General features: G+C 50.2%; 1 protein-coding gene across 18 annotated transcripts, besides 2 other annotated features; it reads right to left on the reverse strand.

Moving 5' to 3' along the window:
• LMBR1L (limb development membrane protein 1 like) lies at positions 1,263-14,971 on the reverse strand. Of its 18 annotated transcripts, NM_001300750.2 has the most exons (18): positions 14,608-14,971; positions 11,085-11,169; positions 10,669-10,870; positions 10,048-10,081; positions 8,870-9,009; positions 8,572-8,675; positions 7,811-7,937; positions 7,215-7,283; positions 7,011-7,075; positions 6,592-6,664; positions 6,417-6,500; positions 6,244-6,320; positions 5,596-5,673; positions 5,374-5,447; positions 4,680-4,770; positions 4,512-4,578; positions 2,068-2,229; positions 1,263-1,863 (listed from the first exon to the last, which is right to left on the reverse strand). In NM_001300750.2, the coding sequence occupies exons 3-18, from the start codon at positions 10,808-10,810 to the stop codon at positions 1,796-1,798; spliced, it is 1,455 nt and encodes a 484-aa protein (NP_001287679.1). In that variant the 5' UTR covers positions 10,811-10,870; positions 11,085-11,169; positions 14,608-14,971; the 3' UTR covers positions 1,263-1,795. The 18 variants fall into 18 exon arrangements, 17 of the variants coding, with proteins under 17 accessions (NP_001287679.1, NP_001339094.1, NP_001287680.1 ...); NM_001352165.2 differs by lacking the exons at positions 10,048-10,081; positions 10,669-10,870 and having other exon boundaries at positions 14,608-14,792; positions 14,937-14,971; NM_001300751.2 differs by lacking the exon at positions 10,669-10,870 and having other exon boundaries at positions 5,374-5,387.
• Positions 14,140-14,679: an enhancer, noted in NCBI's record as "H3K27ac hESC enhancer chr12:49503799-49504338 (GRCh37/hg19 assembly coordinates)". NCBI's record gives its function as "activates a minimal SCP1, AML or CMV promoter by ChIP-STARR-seq in primed H9 embryonic stem cells {active_cell/tissue: H9 hESC(primed)}" and the evidence as "EXISTENCE:reporter gene assay evidence [ECO:0000049][PMID:30033119]".
• Positions 15,537-15,717: a silencer, noted in NCBI's record as "fragment chr12:49505196-49505376 (GRCh37/hg19 assembly coordinates)". NCBI's record gives its function as "represses an EF-1alpha promoter that drives an FKBP-Casp9 reporter gene in an ReSE screen in HepG2 liver carcinoma cells {active_cell/tissue: HepG2}" and the evidence as "EXISTENCE:reporter gene assay evidence [ECO:0000049][PMID:32094911]".

Genomic DNA, 21,894 nt, shown 5'->3' on the forward strand with positions numbered 1-21,894 from the left:
TGGCTAGTACTCATAGCAACTTTGTGTACATCAGAAAAAACCAGGCCAGGCACAGTGGCTCACTCCTGTAATCCCAACACTTTGGGGGCGAGGCAAGGACTGCTTGAGGCCATGAGTTGAAGACCAACTTGGTCAACATAGTGACACCCCGTTTCAAAAAAAAAAAATTAATTAGTGGGAGGTAGTGGTACATGCCTGTAGTCTTAGGTACTCAGGAGGCTGAGGAAGGAGGATCACTTGGGTGCAAGAGTTCAAGGCTGTAGAGTGAGCTAAGATCATGCCACTGCACTCTAACCTGGGTGACAGAGTGAGGACCCCCCCCCCCAAAAAAAAGATGGCTGGGTGTTGTGGCTAACCCCTGTAATTCCATCATTTGGGGAGTCCAAGGTAGGTGGATCACTTGAGCTCAGGAGTTCAAGACCAGCCCAGGCAACATGGCAAAACCCCATCTCTACTAAAAATACAAAAATTAGCCAGGCATGGTAGCATGTGTCTGTTGTCCTAGCTATTCTGGAGCCTGAGCTGGAAGAATGGCTTGAGCCCAGAATGCGGAGGTTGCAGTGAGCTGAGATTGCACCACTGCACTCCAGCCAGGGTGATAGAGCCAGACCTTGTCTCACAAAAAAAAAAAAAAAAAAAAGAAGAAGAAAAAAGAAAAAAAAAGCACCCCTTCCTCAAGATGACTGACATTTATTAGAAAACTATCATAGTAACTATCCACACAATGACTATGAGGTGAATGGTGTCCCTGGAAGCTGTGCAATACACAATCTGTATAAGCCTAAGTTTTGCGCTCTTACTCCCAACATAGCACATGGGCTTTTCAAGAAACTGATGGCCTCTAGTAAAAAGCTAGATTCTTCTCTCAGGTAGGAAATGAAAATCCTTGTCAGCCAGCCACTTATTTTACTCTATATCCAATAGTTAAGCCAGGGAGGATAGGGCTGAAGGTATGAGTGTATCGGGGAGGTTAGCCTACTCCTATGCCCATGTCCTACCCCCAATACTCAAGGTACAGAAACAAGGCCATGAATATAAGGAGGAGTCAGGGGACAAGCCAGCTTTAAGCAAGACTGAGGATGGAGGAGTTTCCCACTGCCCAACTGCATGGCCTAACACCAGATCCAAGTCCCCAAAGGATGGTAATAATATAGATGAAGGGGAAGGAAAAGGATGGTGGGCAGGACCCCTCTGCTTCTCTTACTGGGCAGACGCCGGGCTGGTGGGAGCAAGGCTGTTCAAATATACACAGAGACAGGTGCTTTAAAAAAACAAAGCAAACCCTGGGATCAACTTTATTGCTGATGGCTGAAGCCTCCTCCTCCCTATCCCCTTGGTCTTTCAGGTGGTCCAAAGCCCCTCCAGGATAGCACAGTGCTTAGGCTCTGCTGGGCCAGAGGCAAGGGAGACAATCTATCTCCCGAGCCTGCCCTGGCCCAGTCCTTTCCCTGCCCCTACCCCACCCTATTGCACATCAAATCATGTAAACATGGCTATGGGGATGGCCCAGAACAGCAGTGAGGCAGATTGATGTGTAAACAGATTTGGGATCAGGGGCTAGACCCAGTCACCCAGCCCTACCCCATGCTGAGGCCACAGTTAAGTATGGAAAAGCAGGAGGTCCTGGTCCCAAACTCTGGCTCAGATTATGCAATAGTGCAGATGGCTCTGCTCCCCTCTGCCACCCACCCTCTCAGATTCCAGGTCCTGAGGTCCAAGTAGCCTTGGGCTTCCCTCCAGGCCTAGGCAGCAGATGGCAGTGTCCAGTTTTTTCCTTCCCACCCCCAGCTGGAGGTCACTGGTGCTGGGTCTTCCTAGATGCCTGGGGGAAACCGGAGACGGGCAGCGGCAGTCTGTCCAGCCCTGGAGAAGAGGAGATGGGCAGTCAAAAGCAAGTCAAAGGTCCAGTCCGTTAGGGACCAGGCAGCCAAGCCACAGAATGTGTGGATGAGGTACGTTACCCACAAAGCAGGAAGCACACCCTCTCCCCTGCTGGGGTGATCCATGTTCCAGAGTGTCCTAGATGATTACCACCCCCCACTAGCCTGCACCCTCACTCCCTCTCACCAAAGGCCCGGATCAGCTCTGCCCGCACAGCTGCAGTGAAGGTCTTCACCAGACAGAGTGTGGTGAGGCCTGCAAAGGCTGCGTTGTAGAGGAACACAATGTAGAAATTGCCCAGCCAGTTGAAGCGTCCAAAGTCACCCAGCAGGTCAAAGCGAGTGAGCCCTGAAGCACAAAGGCCAGGATGAGAGGTGGGCTCCCCAGGCCCTTTTCTGCTACCAGCCCAACTTTCTGCTGCCTCCTGGTGGCCACATTTCAACACTGCAACTGATAGGTTGGCCTCTCCCAATTCTACCACCCAAGCTGTCTCAAGAGCAGTTCGGGACTGTTCTAAGTGCCAGCAGCTAGGCTTGCTTCAACTTCGCTTCCAGAGTCTGGTATCTTCTCCTCCAGTGAGGCCTCCTCTGGCTCCTGGTGTCCCCAGGAACTCCCAGGGCCTACTACTTGTTCCTGGGCCTGGAATAAGCAGTTTGCCAAGTTTTTTTTAGTAGACAGAACAGTGTGGTTGCTGGGCGCTCATACTCATCAGGCTGCTTTGGTTCATATCCCAACTCCACCCCTAACTAGCTGCGTGATCTGGGGCAATTTCCTTAAATTTTCTGTGCCTCAGTTTCCTAAGAATTAAATGAGACAACACACATAAAGCACTGTCTGTGCCAGGCACTATTCTAACATTTACTGGTCCCCTCATAATATTATCATAAATCAAAAAACTCTGCTCTCCACCTTTAAATATTCTTACCTGCATCCACCCTAAAGGAACTAACTGGAAGACCCACAAACCTACTTTCTTACAAATTCTCCTGGCATAAATACAAATGGTAGAGTGGAAATAATATAACGTTAAGAATGAAATAGAGCTGTTTTTTGTTTTGTTTAATTTGGTTTTGTCTTAAGACAGGGTCTTGCTCTGTTGCCCAGGTTGGAGTGCAGTGGCACAGTCTTAGCTCACTGCAGCCTCAAACTCCTGGGCCCAAGCAATCCTCCTGCCTCAGTCTCACACATAGCTAGGACTATAGGTGTGCTAATTAAAAACACTTTTTTTTTTTTTTTTGGTAGAGATGGGGTCTCACTATATTGCTCAAGCTGGTCTAGGACTCCTGGCCTCAAGTGATCCTCCCACCTTGGCCTCCCAAAGTGCTAGGATTACAGGCGTGAACCACCAGGCCTGGCTCACAGCTGATTTTTTTTTTTTTTTTTTTCTGAGACAGAGTCTCGCTCTGTCACCCAGGCTGGAGTGCAGTGGTACCATCTTGGCTCGCTGCAACCTCCACCTCCCAAGCTCAAGCAATTCTCATGCCTCAGCCACCTCCCAAGCTCAGCAATTCTCATGCCTCAGCTGAGATTACAGGCATGTGCCACCATACCTGGCTAATTTTTATATTTTTCATAAAGATGGGGTTTCACCATGTTGGCTAGGCCGGTCTTGACCTCCTGGCCTCAAGCTGATCTGTCCACCTTGGCCTCCCAAAGTGTGAGATTACAGACGTGAGCCACCAGGCCTGGCCCCAGAACTGACTTAAATATGAAATCACATATAAAATACAGAGGATGATGTGGTATTTAGGGGGAGGTAGGAGGGCGGCTGTTACCTCTGCAGCTCACACACTACCTTGGGGTGAACTAGTTACACTCTTGAACTTTTTTTTTTTTTTTTTGAGATGAAGATTCGCTCTTGTTGCCCAGGCTGGAGTGCAATGGCGTGAGCTCAGCTCACCGCAACCTTTGCCTCCCGGGTTCAAGTGATTCTCCTGCCTCAGCTTCCCGAGTAGCTGGGACTACAGGCATGCACCACCACACCTGGCTAATTTTGTATTTTTAGTAGAGATGGGGTTTCTCCATGTTGCTCAGGCTGGTCTCGAAATCCTGACCTCAGGTGATCCGCCCGCCTTGGCCTCCCAAAGTGCTGGGATTACAGGCATGAGCCACTGCGCCCAGCCACTCTTGAACTTTTTAACCAGTTAATTCTAGATATAGCTCTAAAGGCAGGAGAAGGAGTGAGTTTATTATCTGACACACCAGTGTATAGAGAAAGCACTAGCCTGGGGTTCAGGAGACAAGGGTCCTAGACTGACTTGACCTTGCCTCAAGCCAGCTGTATAATCTGGGTTAATCAGGTAGCTTCTCTGTTTATTGTCTTTCAAATAGGAACATTTACTAGATTATTCACCCAGGAGAAAGATTTAGAAAAGTGTGCTCCCTGACCAAAAAGTAGAAGTAAATGAGAGGCAGTGGGATGTAGCAAATGTAAAAAGTATGTACTTTGACCCTGAAGCTCAGTGTAGGCACTTTACAGAGCCTTGCTTTCCTCATCTGTATAATGCGGATAATACCTACTCATGGGTTTGTTGTGGGAATTAGAGAAATTATGTATATAAAGTGCCTGCTTTGCATCAGTAAGTACTCAAAAAAATCCAATTCCTTTATCTCCTCCTTTCAATACTTACCCAGGGTTCGAGAGAAGACAGGAAGTGCTGAGCTTAGGACCAGGAGACAGACACAGTTCCCAATTATCTGGGTGGAAGCAGGGAAAGGAGAGGTGAGGGTGGAAGAGCTGCAGGCACCTAGTGCCCATCCACACCCCCCGGGAGCTTCCCTTACTCCCTCCCAGCTACCTGCGTCATGGCAGTGTCGTGCCATCTGGGCCGCAGGCTCCGGAAGAGTGGAGAGCTATAGAAGCCCACAACTGAGGACACCATTAGGTAACTGCCACTGCATTAAGGAAGAACTGGCTGGCTCCAAGAATTAATAACTCATCTCAAAGGGAACAGAGCTCTCTCCCAGCCCACTTCTTTTTTTTTTTTTGAGACAGGGTCTCACTTTGTCACCCAGGCTGGAGTGCAGTGGTGCGATTTCAGCTCACTGCAACCTTGACCTTCTGGGCTTAAGCGATCTTCCCACGTCAGCCTCCCACGTAGCTGGGAATGCAAGCACGCACCACCACGTCTGGCTAATTTTTTGTACTTTTTGTAGAGGCCGGGTTTCACCATGTTGCTCAGGCTGGTCTTGAAATCCTAAACTCAAGCAATCTACCCGCCTCAGCCTCCCAAAGTGCTAGGATTACAGGTGTGAGCCACTGCACCTGGCCTCTTTTTATTTTCTTCTGATCAGATTCTACTGAACCACCAGCCCTCCTTTCAAATTAAGTCTTTTCCTTCTTTCTGAACCTGAGGTTGATGAAAACTTGCCCCACTTCCCATCAGCGTTGCTCAGAGTCCCAAAGGAGACAAAGTCCAAGAAGTGCTCGGTCTAGAGTCCCAGGAGACAGGTTTGCTGAACAGAGGCAATGATGGGTTTCCAGAAGGATACAAGATGAGTACAACCTGAATGACGGCACCAAAGGAGCCCAGCTTGGAGAAGGAGACCTGGCCTAAGGAGGTACCCTGAGGAGTGGGGCAGTATCACTGTGAGCATTCCCCACCATCAGCACTACCCGGCACCCAGCCTTCCCACTGTCCTCAGCTTCTGCCTCCTCTCCCCAGCTGTTCTTAGGCCCTCCCCAAAGGATATGGTGGGAGGGCAGCCTGGTACCTGCATGCCTCGGGGCATGGCAGCCTCATCGATGAGCAGCTCCAGGATGTGGATGGCCACAATGAGCACAGACAGGCCCTGTGTGAGGCAAGGTCAGACTCCCATTCCACCCCAGACCACAGCTGGACCCAGAGCTAAAGGAATGGGCAGACTCTGGTCCAACATTTTCAGTTTCCAAGACTAGCTCTGCTTCCAATGAGCTATATGGGACCTCATCAAGGCTGCTATTAGCAACAGAGTGCCTTTGAGGATATTATAAGATACATCTCCTCTAGATGGAAGGATTGCAAAAAGGCTGAATAGGAAAAGGCATCTCTCTTCCTTCAACTGATGAGATCTATAACTGAGTCCATAGGGGAATCGACTGAATTTCAATGTTTATTATTTTAATGCCAGGGCAAACCTGCACAACTCCTCACTGGCCCTGTGTCTTTGGGCAAGTCACTCAACTCTGTCTCTTCGTCTACAAAATGGGGATTGATGTGCTCAACATTTGTGCTCACCACAGGCAGGACATAAAAGTAGGCACTCAGTGAGAAGCAACCACTATTACTGATGATAACCAGGTCCCTGCATTGCCTCCCCTCTCCCTGAGAAGGCCTCAAGTACTGAGGGTCCACTCCTCACCTCTAGGGCTGGTATACCTACCGTCAGCACCAGCAAGCACAGCATAGCCAGGGGGTAGCCCAGGTTCCGTTGCCAGGCTGAAGCCTTCCGCCTCTTCTCTGTGCAGGGATGGGAGGCTGTCAGCAAGCACCTGGAACCAGGGGCTACTCTCCTTGGGGAAACCCAGGTATCCCAAGCCCTACGAAGCCACATACCCAGCAGGACCCTCTGTGTCTGCAGAGCCAGGACCTGTCTGTGTAGCAGCTCCATGTCTAAAGGCAGCCAGCAGGAAGTAGGATCTGAGGGCAGAGAAGATGGTGTTGCTCTCAAGTCCTGCAGTTTCTGCCCAGGCCAAGCCTACCACCCCAGCAGGGAAGAACTGCAACTTACTACAGATCCTGCGGGTCAGGGCTGCCTCCTCAAAGGCTGAGCAGTACAGCTGCTCCTCCAGGTCTTCCAGCAGCTAGGGGCAGGGGAAAGGAAGAGACTAACTGTCAGAGGCTCCCTGACCCAAAGGCCCCAGGAGAACCCTGTTCTTCCCAGGGCTCCGTAGTCCCAGGCTTCCCCCAGACCCTCATTCACCACCCTGTGGCCCGCAGCTTTGCTCAGTCCCTCCCAATTGCCCTGTATTCTGCCCTGCATGTCTAGTGACCAGCTCTGCATGATAGGGGTACAGAATACAGGAACCAACAAAGGCTGTAGCTCTCTGCAAGTTGTGTACTACACAACCATAGGGTTGTTTCATTGTTTGGTTCCAGCTCTGCAGGAAGCTCACCCTGCAGGATCAAAGAGCAAGGAATACCACATACCCGGGGCTTGACTAGCAGCTTCCCAGTGACGGAGAACATGCGGGCGAGACCCAGTGGAGTACACACTGTAGGGACAAGAGCCAGTCACTTGCCAGACCCTGCTCTCCACCCCTTCCCTAACATGCCCCCCATTCCCTTTCCTTCTAGCCTGGTTACTCTGGTCCAAGGACCCTGCCCATTCCCTCCCAGACCCTGTACACTCACCCAGGAGCAGCAGAACCCCAAGGAAGGAGATGCATGAGTAGAGGTAGGGGAGATAGTACTCCCAAAAGTCTAAGGATAAAAAAAAGAGGCATGTCAGCTCATCTCTCCTTACTTACTGTCCCCAGGCTGACAGGCCTCAGAGTCTAGACAAGGGCACAGTCCCCACAGGGGTTAGGCAATTAATACAAATGAAGAAAGCTGGCCAGCATTAGCAGAATAGGGAGTGGCAGGGCCTATAGTAAACTGGAGATCCTAACCCCTAACTAAAGGGTACAACTGCTATTTGGCCCCCATCACCAGGGACTAATGTAGCCAGATCTTCTCCTTGTCAAACAAAGTTAGATATCTGGATATTAATGTGAAACCTCCCAATTTAAAATGTTAGCAACTGAATAATATATATTTTTAAAACCATTGCATGGGCCCAATGAAACATTTCTGCAGATTGCATTTGGCCAGATGTCTATCAGTTTGAAACTTCAGTCTAAGGGAGAAGGTGCCAACATTTTCCACTTTAGAAGGTTACAGTCATTCCAGGCAGGGGGACATGGGCCAACTGAAAAGCCATGCAGCCTGGAGGAAGCTGGGCCGCTCACCATAGAGTGACTCTCTGTTGGCCTTGTTCTTGTCCACAATGGCTGATGCCACCCACACCATACCTAGCACCAGCAGAGTGAGGAGCATCAACATCACCACTGTCTCATAGACCCGGCCCAGGACACCCTACGGGAGGAGGCAACCAGTGAAGAAGGTTAACATCAGGGCAGTGTGGGAACATTGGAGATGGCAGGCAGCCTGCAGGAACCAGAAAGGTTTGGATTCAGGAGGTAAGAGAGAGGGTTTTCCTCTTATTCTGCTAAGTTGCTCTGTCTTCCCACTCCCCAGTCTAAGGTCACCCCACATACCAGGTGTTCTTCATTTGCATCTCCTTTCCCCAGACCTATTCCTTGTCATTGTGTGCTCTGGGAGGCTGACCTCCGAGGTCTGCATCCCACAAGCTCTTTGCCCTCTGGTTTCGCATCCAACAGGAGAATGGAAGGTAGAAAAAAGGTGAGGGTATGTTTCCTGTGAGTCCTCCCACGTCTGCCACCATGGTTTTGGCAGTGATTATGACACTAAGACAACAGCTCCTCTCTGGGCAGCTTCACATCCCTGGCTTCAGCTATTAGTGGGTTCTAGAAACCATTTCCTCCCTTTGTCCCTACAGGCCTAAGGGTGGTAATGACTTCCTACTGTCACTAGAGCCTCAAACTTCCGTTAACTAAACCTCTGCAAATAGCCTCTTTATTAAAATCTCTTCAGCTGAACCATGTGTGTGGAATTCCGTTTCCTGCCTGGATACATATCCCCTACTTACCTTTCTGGAGCCAGCAAAGCCCTCAGACTCAGTGAAGAAATATGCAAAGGGCATGAGGAAGATGAGGGACAGGTTGGAGAAGAGAAAAACAAGGTTCCAGAGGCCTAGAGCAAAAAAGGAAGAGCAGAAGTGGTCAGTAAGGGGAGGGGCAACCCACAGGAGACTGACCATTTGCAGGAGAAGCAGAGTGGGAAGGTGCGACATATGACTGCTTGGCGCACGGCTGCCTGAGTCCACCCAACTCTATCTGCTCTCTGCTCCCTATCCCTACCCCAAGCAGCTTCCAGGAGCCACACACCATGGATGAGGGAGCCGTTGAGCCACTGGATGTAGTAGTTCCGAGGCAGGGAGAGCAGCACCTCATTGCTGATGATGGAGAAGGGCAGGAGCAGGACAGCACCCAGGGCAATTGCCAGGGTAAAGGTGCACAGCTCGAGCCTGGGCAGAGAAGGGGACAGTGTCCTTGCTTAGCTCAGCACTCACTACCCTGTGCTGAAGAAGCCCCATTTGTCCTGAGGGCGCCTGTGGCTTCCAGAACCAGCTGTAGCAATCACAGAGCTAAGGAAGGAGCTGTCCAGCTGGGGTTCTACCCACTGCCACCCCACCCTAGCTCTTTACCTCCAGGGAAGCCCCAGCTCATGGGATGGGCACAGCCTCGGGCATTCATGGGAACCTGGTCACCTGCCATGTCACATACCCAGGCTGTCCCCAGGAATGTGGTCCTCCCATACATGCCTATCAGTTATGCCAGGTATGATGCCAAAACTAGGGGACCTGGCTTCTCTTCTTTGGTCAGGGATATGGATTTCTGAGCTTACCTCTTTTAGCCCAGATAAGCACAGGGTCATCCCATATGGCTATGCCCTGCACAAAGGCATGAGGGCAAAGGAGGACAAGAGGGAACTGAAACCTAGCTTCATAGCCAAGGTCTATGCCCCGGGCTGCATATATTGAAGATGGGCACTTCTAGCTCTTTGGTCCATCAAGGGTGGAGGGCTGCCTTCTGATCTATTGACTCAAAGGAGTCATATCTCTATCTTTTTCTGTATGTACCAGTGAACACTGGCAGCCTGGAATATGGGCCTTTCTCCCAGAACCAAGCATGCCCCTCCCTCAGGGGTTCCCACCTTCCCCACACCCTGCTCTTTTTCCATCAATGTGCATCCCCACTCCACTCCCTCCCTATTGGTCGCTGGGAGGTGAAGCCAAGCTGGAGCCATTTCCGGTGACTCAGGCCCCAGCGGACGTTCCTGGCCATGAGGCTCCCACAAGCTCCTGGCCTAACCAGGAAGACAGGAACAGCAGCTTTTCTGAGCATCCCCAGGGTGAGGTAAAGCCGGAAGCCAGAAATGGGGTGGAAACAGAAACTCTCTCTTCACTGTGTGAGACTTCCCCCTTCTCCCTCCAGCTCCAGGCCTCCCTAGATCCCAGTTCCTAAAGACCACTGATGTTAGGTGCTGAGGCAGGGACACTTACGCAATCTTGTTGACGGTGGCATCTTCATCATCCACTGTAAGAGACAGAGGCACGGGGAACAGGCAGGAGGACATCAGGGGGCAGCTCTGAGGCCGTTAGTATTACAATGTGCTCCCTGCCCCATCCCTGCCCCCTCAAAGAAGGCAGAGCTGAACAGGAGGCTCCAGGAGACCACACATTATGAACTCCATAGCCTGTTCTCCAGCCAAGGTGGCAGCTTAAAAATCAGTGGTCCCAGGTGAAGAGAATACAGGCCAGACATTCCTATACTTCTTTACTCCTCCCTAGATCTCTCCCATCACAAGTTCCTCTTTATATGCTCAAACTATTAATATAATAAACAACTAGTCTGTGAGGTTGGTTACATCAGTGGCTGGGTCCAGGAAAGGGAAAAGAGAGGAGGGGGAAGGGGAGATTCACACAGAAAGTCCCCAGGGGAATTACTCTTGGGTAGCTGCCTTGTTGAGGGGGGACTCATCCTGAGCCATCCTAAGAGGAGGAAAGGCTGGAGCTAGGAACTGGGGCAAGTGTGCCCCCACCCCCAATTACACAATGTCTAGGGAAGGAAAGCTGCGATCTGAGCATACTCAGGCTCCCCATAAAGAGAAAGGCCACCATCACCAGGTTCCCCAGTCATCAGGGAGGTCTCTGGTCCTGGCTGTGGAAGCACTAGGAGAGGAGATGACACAGAGCCTGTGCCCGTAATGACATTCATCCAGCAGTTGCTCACTTCAGGTTCACAAAGGGCTTTCACATTAACCATCTCCTTTGGTCCACACAATGGAGTAGGTAGACATTGTTACGCCCATTTTGTAGGATGAAACTGAGGATCAGAAATGTTATATGACTTGCCCAGCAGACACATCCATCTAGCCGCCCTTGCCCCTATCTTGCAGAAAGGGAGGCTGAAGAGGCAAAGGCTCCAGAACAGCCCCACACAGCCACTGCTCCTTTCCCAGTGGGTACCATAGGCCCATTCCCCTGAGGCTGGTCCATGGCAACAGGGACTCTAGCAGGAGGGAGGGAAATCAAAGTACCTGTGGTGAACTCAGCAGGCTTCTTGAAGCGGGTCAGGAAGATGTGGCAGAGGATGTACAGTGTTGCAAACAGAAGTGTTGATATCTGTAGCAGAATATGAGCTGGGATGAGAAGCTCTAACCTTCAGCACACTCCACAGCCCCAAGGGCCTCTCTGTTAATTCCAGGCCATCACTTCCTCAAGATAAGGCTCCATACTTCCAAGGGTTCCATCTGGAAGTATGTTCTGTTCTGATCCCCCAGGTACTTCCTTCTAGTCAGGGCCCCAGGGGCCTCAAAGAAGGGCCAGACAGGGGCTGCCCCATGCACCTGGGGAAACAGCAACATGCCCAGCCCTACAAGGACTTCATTGGGAGAAAATAGCTTCAGCCCAACTCTGGTTGGTAAATGGGCAAAGAAAACTCCTAGAAATGCACATGCACACGCATTTCAAACCAGCTACAGAACCAGAGGGAATTTACTCCGAGCACATTATTGGGAATGAAAGCAGGTTTGAGGGGAGGAAGACGTCTGCATTGTCCTGGCACCCCATTGCTACCCCACCCTCCTACCTCCATGCACACTGCTGCCTTGACCCAAAGAAGGTGTCATGTTTCTAGACCAAGTCACAACTTCTATTCCATGCTTATTCAGGGGCCTGAAAGATCAGGTCTGCTCTGGGCCAAACCAGAGTCTCATTTAATCCTCTACCCCTAACAGTGGGCTTTAGCTGGGGCCCAATATCTATAGTGTTTCTAGAGCTGGCTGGACTGCCAAGTGACAGTGATGGCGGAACTCAGCCAGGTTAATCTGCATATTCATTCCTACTCTACTCCAAGTAAGCTGCTGCTGCCCAGAGGAGGAGCCATTGGCCAGCTTGGCTCTATAATCAAGAACAGAGAGTCTCCGCCAGGCACTGTGGCTCATACCTGTAATCCCAGCACTTTGGGAGGCCGAGGCAGATGAATCACTTGAGGTCAGGAGTTCAAGACTAGCCTGGCCAACATGGTGAAACCCCGTCTCTATTAAAAATACAAAAATTGGGCTGGGCGTTGAGGCTCACGCCTGTAATCTCAGCACTTTGGGAGGCCACAGTGGGAGGATCATGAGGTCAGGAGTTCAAGACCAGCCTGACCAACATGGTGGAACCCCATCTCTACTAAAAAAACAAAAATTAGCTGGGTGTGGTGGTGCATACCTGTAATCCCAGCTACTCAAGAGGCTGAGGCAGGAGAATCACTTGAATTCAGGAGGTGGAGGTTGCAGTGAGCTGTGATGGCGCCACTGCACTCTAGCCTGGGTGACAGAGCAAGACTCCATCTCAAAAAAAATTACAAAAATTGGCTGGGCGCAGTGGCTCACGCCTATAATCCCAGCATTTTGGGAGGCCGAGGCGGGAGGATCACGAGGTCAAGAGATCAAGACCATCCTGGCCAACATGGCGAAACCCTGTCTCTACTAAAAATACAAAAATTAGCCAGGCGTGGTGGCATGCACCTGTAGTCTCAGCTACTTGAGAGGCTGAGGCAGGAGAATTGCTTGAACCCGGGAGGCGGAGGTTGTAGTGAGCCGAGATTGTGCCACTGCACTCCAGCTCTGGCAACAGAGCAAGACTGAGTCTCAAAAAAAAAAAAAAAAAAAAAAAAAGGCCGTGTGTGGTGGCAGGTGCCTGTAATCCCAGCTACTCGGGAGGCTGAGGTACAAGAATCACTAGAACCTGGGAGGCGGAGGTTGCAGTGAGCAGAGATAACGCCACTGCACTCCAGCCTGGGCGACAGAGTGAGACTAGGTCAAAAACAAAACTAAACAAAACAAAAAAAACACCAGAGAGTCTCAAGAAGAGAAGTTATTGTGTTTGAGATAGGCCAAGAATACAAGATCAGTCTCATGGGTCTTCCAGTCTCCAGAAAGGGCTGACCCCACAAGGAAAACACATACAGCTATCTGTACAAGGAGGGAAGAATCCACAGAGACGCAGGAGAGCCATCGATCTAGAACAAAGTCATAGCTTTTGATATTAGGGAAGCAGAACAGAAGGAGCCACTCAGATTGTAGCTGCAAGATTTTTATAGCCTGTGTTCTGCTCTGGGCTTGCGTAATAGCCAGGAAGGTGGGAGGGCTCAAAAGGTCAGGCTGGAGTTCCACGCAGTTCCAAGAAGCTAGGCTGCTCTCTAGCCTCTAGATGAGAGCCAGGTGGGGGAGGCACCATAAGTCTTCAGGCTACCCTTAGCCAGCACTGATGTTCTCAGCTCATGGGACTAAAGGATTAGGGAGACATCCAGGAGGCTGCTTCTGTCCAAGGTCTCATCCCTCCCTGTTCTCTAGGAATTTGAGCCTCCAGCCCGACACTGTCTCAAGGCCTGGGTGTGCCTCTGCAATATGCCCAACCCACCATGTGGACTGTCCACCAAGAAACACACAAGGAAGGCTTGCCGAAAGCACACTTCTACTGGAGTTGCACACACAGACTAATATACTTTCCTGTCCTCACAGATAAGAGCAGACCTAATTATGTCCTGGCTCAATTTACCCCTCCTCCAATCAGGCTGCCCAGGGCTGGCTAGAGCCCAGCCTGAGAAAAATGAAGGGAATGACCCCAACAATGGATTCCCACACTTACTAACATTTCTTTCTGTTTTTCCAAACCATTCCCTTTCCATTTACTATCTGGAGATGAGGGTTGCCCTGGTGAGCTCTGGGGAAGGACACAGGAGAAAGGAGAGAGGTGAAAATTCAAAGCAAGGCTGAGAAAGATATGACACCCTAAGCTCCACTGGGTACCCCTACCCCAGAATTGAGTAGTCCACTTCTGTGCGCAAGGTTCAGTTGTCGCTCTAAGTGGCAGGGAGGGCGTAAGGAACAGCAGCCAGGTACCCTCTGAAGCCCTGGGAGGACCACTCACTGGGGAAACCCCGGAATGGCTGAGAGGCTGGGAACCCAGCCTTGCAGGGTTTCAAACAAACACCAATGAGAAAGAAAAAAGACGGGGGAATACTTGGTTGTTCCTCATCTCTACATATTAGGATCCACCCCAGCAAGACTCCTTTCTTCCAAAGCAGATGACCCACCAAGTCCCCAGGTTCCTCCCGTCTGCCATCCCTACACCTCCCCTCTTTTCTGGAATCAAGCTCAGTGTGACGACGTCTCCCCTTCATCCAACGTCAGCTGAGTTTGCCCTCAACCCAGTTTGAGAAGCAAACCCATCCTTCCCCGATTATCAGACTAAGGCAGACTCCGCAGGCTCTCAGACCCCGGAGACCCCCAACAGGAAGACGCGCTGGGTGAGGGGTGGGAGGGAGGGGCAGGGGAGGGGCGTGTGGGGGAGGAACGGAAACGACGGCCTTTGTTTATCGCTCAGGGACCCAGCTGATCCCATCTAGGGGATCGCTAGCCGGGCACCCGCCCTTCTGCCCGGACGGAGGCCTCCGTCGCCCGCCGCTGGCCCAGGCATGGTTTGACGGCACTCTGAGACCAGGTGGGCTCGGACCCCAACCTCCCCGTCTCCCGCAACCCCCGCTTCTCCTCGCCGGGGCCCCGCACTCACAATACACTCGCGGATCCTCTCGTGGAATAGCTGTTCTCGCACGGATAGCACTTCGTAGTCAGGTGCTTCCATACTCTGCTCAGCATGACTGAAGCCGAGGTGCCTCTGGGCCCGGGGAGGACGAGCGGGGAGGAAGCCGCCGCCGCCAAGCACCCAGACCCAGCCTAGGGGCCTTTCCTCGCAGCCTGCGACAGAAACTCGGGGCAGTCTGGGGCTCAGATACAGTCGTCCGGACGCCCCGCCCTTAAAGGGGCAGGCACCACCCGCCTCGTTTTAAAGGGCTCTGTCCTCCCTTTGCTCCCCACTCTTTAAGGTCGGGTCGCGCTCACGTTTCAATGCAAACACCCGCCACTAGGCTCGCTACGAGGAAGCGCCGCTGAGGGTCCATCTTTTTAAGAGATCTAGTGACGACACAAGGGATGGGCGGGTTCCTTCCAGGGGGAGGAACTCATTGGCTCCTGGAGAGCTGTCGTTCATCGCTGGAGGAGCGCTGATAGGCTCGCCCTGTGGAGGAAGGCGGGATCTTTTGGGCCTACCGCTGCCCATACTAATAGAGCAACTGTCTCTCTTATCTGGGAAAAGTGAAGGTTCCTGGATTTTAGTAGCAGCCAACATTTTAGTATGACCTTGGTTAAATGAACCGTTTGAAGCAGGCCAGCCAGGCAGGATGTGAGGGCACCCTAGGGGTTCTGAAATGTACCGCTGCCCAGTAACCGATGTTCTGTAGTAGCATTTTCTGTGTGTTTGTGTTGGGGTGCCCCTCCCCACATCCCCACCCCGCTTTCCCGCTGCCAGGAGTTTTCATTCAATCATTTTTGTGGAAGACCTAGTGTGTGCTAGAACAAATACTGAAAAATACTGGAGAGAGGACTACAGAAATACCTTGCAACTTTGTGAAGAAATGCCCACAAGGATCACTGAAGAGTGGGGCTGAGTCAAACATTAGCTAACCACTTACTATGTGCCATTCACTTTATAGTCGTTATCTCAGCCATGTTACCCAGGCTGATCTCGGACTCCTAGTCTCAAAGTGATGGGCCTCCCAAAGTACTGGGATTACAAGGCGTGACCCACCCAGCCTATTATCTCATTTTTAACGTCACAACAACACTTCAGAGGAAGATGTTGTGATTCAGCTTTTATTTCTTTATTTATTTTTGAGACGGAGTTTCGCTCTTATTGCCCAGGCTGCAGTGCAATGGTGTGATTTCGGCTCACTGCAACCTCCGCCTCCCGGGTTCAAGCGATTCTCCTTCCTCAGCCTCCCAAGTAACTGGGATTACAGGCATGCGCCACCGCGCCCAGCTAATTTTGTATTTTTAGTAAAGACGTGGTTTCTCCATGTTGGTCAGGCTCATCTTGAACTCCCAACCTTAGTTGATCCGCCCGCCTCGGCTTCCCAAAGTGCTGGGATTACAGGCGTGAGCCACCACGTCCGGCCAAGATTTTGTGTGTGTGTGTGTGTGTGTGTGTGTGTGTGTGTGTGTGTGTGTGTGTGTGTGTGTGTGTCTTGGAAGTAGACAGGATTTAGACGAAGGGAGATTTTCTTTTAAGTTATTTATTTTTGAGACAGTCTCACTCTGTCGCCCAGGCTGGTGTGCAGTGGTGCGATCACGACTCACTGTAGCCTCCAACTCCAAGGCTCAAGTGATCTTCCCATCTCAGTCTCTTGAGCAGCTGGGATCACAGGCAGGCACCAGCACACTTAGCTGATTCTGCCATGTTGCTCAGTCTGGTCTTGAACTCCTGGGCCCAAGCTGTCGGCCTGCCTTGACCTCCCAAAGTGCAGGGATTACAGGCGTGAGCCAACAGACCCGACCTCCTCTAAATTCTTAAAGCAACATCCAGCTGCATAGTTCAGTGAGCAGTTAAAAATTGGCCATTAGCCGCGCGCGGTGGCTCACGCCTGCAATCCCAGTACTTTGGGAGGCTGAAGCGGGCGGATCAAGAGGTCAGGAGATCGAGACCATCCTGCCTAACACGGTGAAACCCCATCTCTACTTAAAACATAAAAAATTAGCCGGGCGTGGTGGCAGGTGCCTGTAGTCCCAGCTACTCGGGAGGCTGAGGGAGGAGAATGGCGTGAACCCGGGAGGCGGAGCTTGCAGTGAGCCGAGATCGCGCCACTGCACTCCAGCCTGGGTGACAGAGCGAGACTCCATCTCAAAAAAAAAAAAAAAAGAAAAGAAAAAGAAATTGGCCATAAGACCGGGCGCGGTGACTCATGCCTGTAATCCTAGCACTTTGGGAGGCCGAGACGGGTGGATTACCTGAAGTCAGGTGCTGAGAGCAGCTCGGTCGGGGAGACCCTAACCCAGCGGCACTAGAGGAATTAAAGACACACAGAAATATAGAGATGTGAAGTGGGAAATCAGGGGTCTCACAGCCTTCAGAGCTGAGAGCCAGGAACAGAGATTTACCCAACAGCAAGCCAGTCATTAGCATTGTTTCTATAGATATTAGATTAACTGAAAGTATCCCTTATGGGAAACAAAGGGATGGGCAGAGATAAAGGGATGGGTTGGGCTAGTTATCTGCAGCAGGAGCATGTCCTTAAGGCACAGATCGCTCATGCTATTGTTTGTGGTTTAAGAACGCCTTTAAGCGGTTTTCCGCCCTGGGTGGGCCAGGTGTTCCTTGCCCTCATTCCAGTAAACCCACAACCTTCCAGCGGGGCATTATGGCCATCATGAATATGTCACAGTGCTGCAGAGATTTTGTTTATGGCCAGTTTTGGGGCCAGTTTATGGCCAGATTTTGGGGGGGGCTTGTTTCCAACAGTCAGGAGTTCAGGACCACCCTGGCCAACAGGGTGAAACCCTGTCTCTACTAAAAAATACAAAAATTAGCTGGGCATGGTGGTGGGTACTGTAATCCCAGCTACTTGGGAGGCTGAGGCAGGAGAAACACTTGAACCTGGGAGTTGGAGGTTGCAGTGAGCTGAGATCACACCATTGCGCTACAGCCTGGGCAACAAGAGCGAAACTCCGTCTCTAAAAAAAAAATTGTCCATATATGCATTGTTTCATAATATTTGTCCTCTTGAGCTGTTATTTAAATATTTTGTATTGTTTAACTTTACCTTCATTTATGTCTTTCCTCTTTTCCTCCTGTCTTCTCCTCTTCAAGAATTAGAAACTCATATTTGGCTTTTTTTTTTTTTTTTTTTTTTTTTGAGATGGAGTTTCACTCTTGTTGCCCAGGCAGGAGTGCAATGGTGCGATCTTGGCTTACCGCAACCTCCACCTCCCGGGTTCAAGCGATTCTCTTGCCTCAGCCTCCAGAGTACCTGGGATTACAGGCACTCCCCCATGACTGGCTAGTTTTGTATTTTTAGTAGAGACGGGGTTTCTCCTTGTTGGTCAGGCTGGTCTCCAACTCCTGAACTCAGGTGATCCGCCCGCCTCAGCCTCCCAAAGTGCTGGGATTACAGGCATGAGCCACCGTGCCAGGCTCATATTTGGCTTCTAATTCACCCCCTTCTTTTCTTCCCCAAAACTTAACCCAGTGCAGTTCTTATAATAAACACTTAAACAGGGCCAGGCACTGCAGTTCACGCCTGTAATCCCAGCACTTTGGGAAGCTGAGGCAGGCGGATCACCTGAGCTCAGGAGTTTGAGATCAGTCTGACCAACATGGAGGAACCCTGTCTCTACTAAAAATACATAATTAGCCGGTCGTGGTGGCGCATGCCTGTAATCCCAGCTACTGAGGAGGCTGAGGCAAGAGAATCACTTGAACCCAGGAGGCAGAGGTTGCAGTGAGCCAAGATCGTGCCATTGCAATCCAGCCTGGAAGCGAAACTCCGTCTCAAAAAAAAAAAAAAAAAAAAAAAAAAAAGACCAGCCTGGGTAACACATGACCCTATCTCTACAAAAAATTTATGAAATTAGCAAGGCGTGGTGGCATGTCCCCGTAGTTCTAAGATACTCAGGAGACTGAAGGAGGAGAATCACTTGACCCCAGGAAATCGAGGCTACAGTGAGCTATCATGGGACCACTGCATTCCAGCCTGCGCAACAAAGTGAAACCCTGTTTTTATTTTGTAAAAAAAAAAAAAAAGAAAGAAAGAAAAGAAAGAAAGAGAAGAAAGAAAACTTCCTGCCTACTCTAAGACTACTTTCAGGGTGATTTTGTTCTCAGGACTTTCTGGGTCTTTGGAAAGAGCTTATTTAGCTATTTAGCTAACTCTTTTTTTTTTTTTTTTTTTTTGGCTCTGTCACCTAGGCTGGAGTGCAGTGGCTCGATCTCTTGTAACCTCTGCCTCCTGGGTTCAAGCAATTCTCCTGCCTCAGCCTCCCAAGTAACTGGGATTACAGGTGCCCGCCACCATGCTCAGCTAATTTTTGTATTTTTGGTAGAGACAGGGTTTCACCATGTTTGTCAGGCTGGTCTCGAACTCCTGACCTCAGGTGATCCACCTGCCTCAGCCTCCCAAAGTGCTGGGATTACAGGTGTGAGCCACCGTACCCAGCCAGAGCTCATCTGACTCTGAATTATAACTTTTTTCTTCTCTCTGGTCAAAATAGGACAAATTTCTAGAAATTTTGGAATATCCCTCTTGTCTAGGGTGCCAGGGAAACCAGAAAACCAGGAATTTCCTAAGCAAGTCCTTCCTGCATCTGAGAACTTTTTGATGTTGTCGTTGGGAGTTAGGAGGAGAAGAATTTTAGAAACACGTTGGCCGGGCGCAGTGGCTCACACCTGTAATCCCAGTGCTCTGGCAGGCCGAGGCGGGCAGATCACCTGAGGTCGGGAGTTTGAGACCAGCCTGACCAACATGGAGAAACCCTGTCTCCACTAAAAATACAAAATTAGCCAGGCATGGTGGCGCATGCCTGTAATCCCAGCTACTTGGGAGGCTGAGGCAGGAGAATCACTTTAACTTGGGAGGCAGAGGTTGCGGTTAGCTGAGATCACACCATTGCACTCCAGCCTGGGCAACAAAGCGTGAAACTCTGTCTCAAAAGAAAAGAAAAGAAAACATGCTTTGAGATATTCAATTCTAATTCTTCCTCCCTACCTCTCTGACCTCTCCAAAAATATTTGAGAGAAGAATTATAATGAAAGATTGGCTTGAGACAGCAAGAAAAAATTTGTGAAATTATAGACTCTGGGAATGGAGAGGTATATTAGAAGTTATCAGGTCTACCTGTTTGTAGGGAAAAGAAGGACAGATCAGACTGTCACTGTGTCTGTGTAGAAAGGAAAGACAACATAAGAGACTCCATTTTGAAAAAGACCTGTACTTTAAACAATTGCTTTGCTGAGATGTTGTTAATTTGTAGCTTTGCCCCAGCCACTTTGACCCAACCACTTTGATCCAATCTGGAGCTCACAAAAACATGTGTTGTATGAAATCAAGGTTTAAGGGATCTAGGGCTGTGCAGGACATGCCTTATTAACAAAATGTTTACAAGCAGTATACTTGATAAAAGTCATTGCCATTCTCTAGTCTCAATAAACCAGGGGCACAATGCACTGTGGAAAGCCGCAGGGACCTCTGCCCTTGAAAGCGGGATATTGTCCAAGGTTTCTCCCCATGTGATAGTCTGAAATATGGCCTCGTGGGATGAGAAAGACCTGACTGTCCCCCAGCCCGACACCCGTAAAGGGTCTGTGCTGAGGTGGATTAGTAAAAGAGGAAGGCCTCTTGCAGTTGAGATAGAGGAAGGCCACTGTCTCCTGCCTGCCCCTGGGAACTGAATGTCTCGGTATAAAACCCGATTGTACATTTGTTCAATTCTGAGATAGGAGAAAAACCGCCCTATGGTGGGAGGTGAGACATGTTTGCAGTAATGCTGCTTTGTTATTCTTTACTCCACTGAGATGTTTGGGTGGAGAGAAACATAAATCTGGCCTACATGCACGTCCAGGCATAGTACCTTCCCTTGAACTTAATTATGATATAGATTCTTTTGCTCACATGTTTTTTGTTGACCTTCTCCTTATTATCACCCTGCTCTCCTACTACATTCCTTTTTGCTGAAATAATGAAAATAATAATCAATAAAAACTGAGGGAACTCAGAGGCCGGTGCCGGTGCAGGTCCTTGGTGTGCTGAGTGCCGGTCTCCTGGGCCCACTATTGTTTCTCTATACTTTGTCTCTGTGTCTTATTTCTTTTCTCAGTCTCTCGTCCCACCCGACTAGAAATACCCACAGGTGTGGAGGGGCAGGGCACCCCTTCAACTGTTTGTGCTTCATGACATAGACCAGGGGTCCTCAACCGCCGGGTGCAGACCATGGCCTGTTAGGAACCAGCCCACACAGCAGGAGGTGAGGGGTGGGCAAGCAAGCATTACTGCCTGAGCTCCACCTCCTGTCAGATCAGCAGTGGCATTAGATTCTCATAGGAGCTAGAACTGTGTTGTGAACTGTGGATCTAGGTTGGGTGCTTCTTATGAGAATCTAATGCCAGATGATCTGAGGTAGAACAGTTTCATCCTGAAACCACCCCTCACCACACACACCATTCATGGAAAAATTGTCTTCCACAAAACCTGCCCCTGGTACCAAAAAGGTTGGGCACCACTGACCGCTGAATAGATGGCATACTGGATCGTTGTTGGTGCTGGCTAATTTTTAGAAAGTGAACTGCAGTCTTATTCCCCATCTTTTGCTGTGCCCTCTGGGGTTTTGAGGAATGAATCTACTGCCATTTCTAGAACACGGCCCTGCATTGGGTTTCTCTTTTCTAAGCTAAACATCCTCAGTTCTCTGAGATTCTCTGCCTAGTACTCCTTACCACTCTCCTCACCCCTTTGAGAAAGCTCCATTGTCTATGTTCCTCTTGAAGCCCAGACTGGATAAGAGATTACACAGGACAGATGCAGTGGTTCACACCCATATTCTCAGCACTTTGGGAAGCCAAAGTGGGTGGATTGCCTGAGCTCAGGAGTTGGAGACCAGCCTGGGCAACATGGCAAAACCCTGTCTCTACAAAAAATACAAAAATTAGCTGGACATTGTAGCATGCCTGTAGTCCCAGCTACTCAGGAGACTGAGGTGGGAGGAGTGATTGAACCCAGGGGGTGGAGGCTGCAGTGGGCCGAGATTGTGCTACTGCATTCCAGCCTGGGAGTCTGGGCAACAGTGCAAGACTCTGTCTCAAAAAAAAAGACAATAACAAAAAAATCAACAACAACAACAAAGAGATTACACCGGGTGAGCAGTGAAGAGGATGGTGGGAATACTCACCTGCCTAGCTTTGAGCACTGTTATATAGAAGGAATATCTAGGGTGACCGCTTATTCTGGTAGCTGGGTCACAACCCAGCTCGTGGCAC

The sequence above is a fragment of the Homo sapiens genome, chromosome 12 (assembly GCF_000001405.40).
Source record: "Homo sapiens chromosome 12, GRCh38.p14 Primary Assembly".
NCBI lineage: Eukaryota > Metazoa > Chordata > Mammalia > Primates > Hominidae > Homo > Homo sapiens.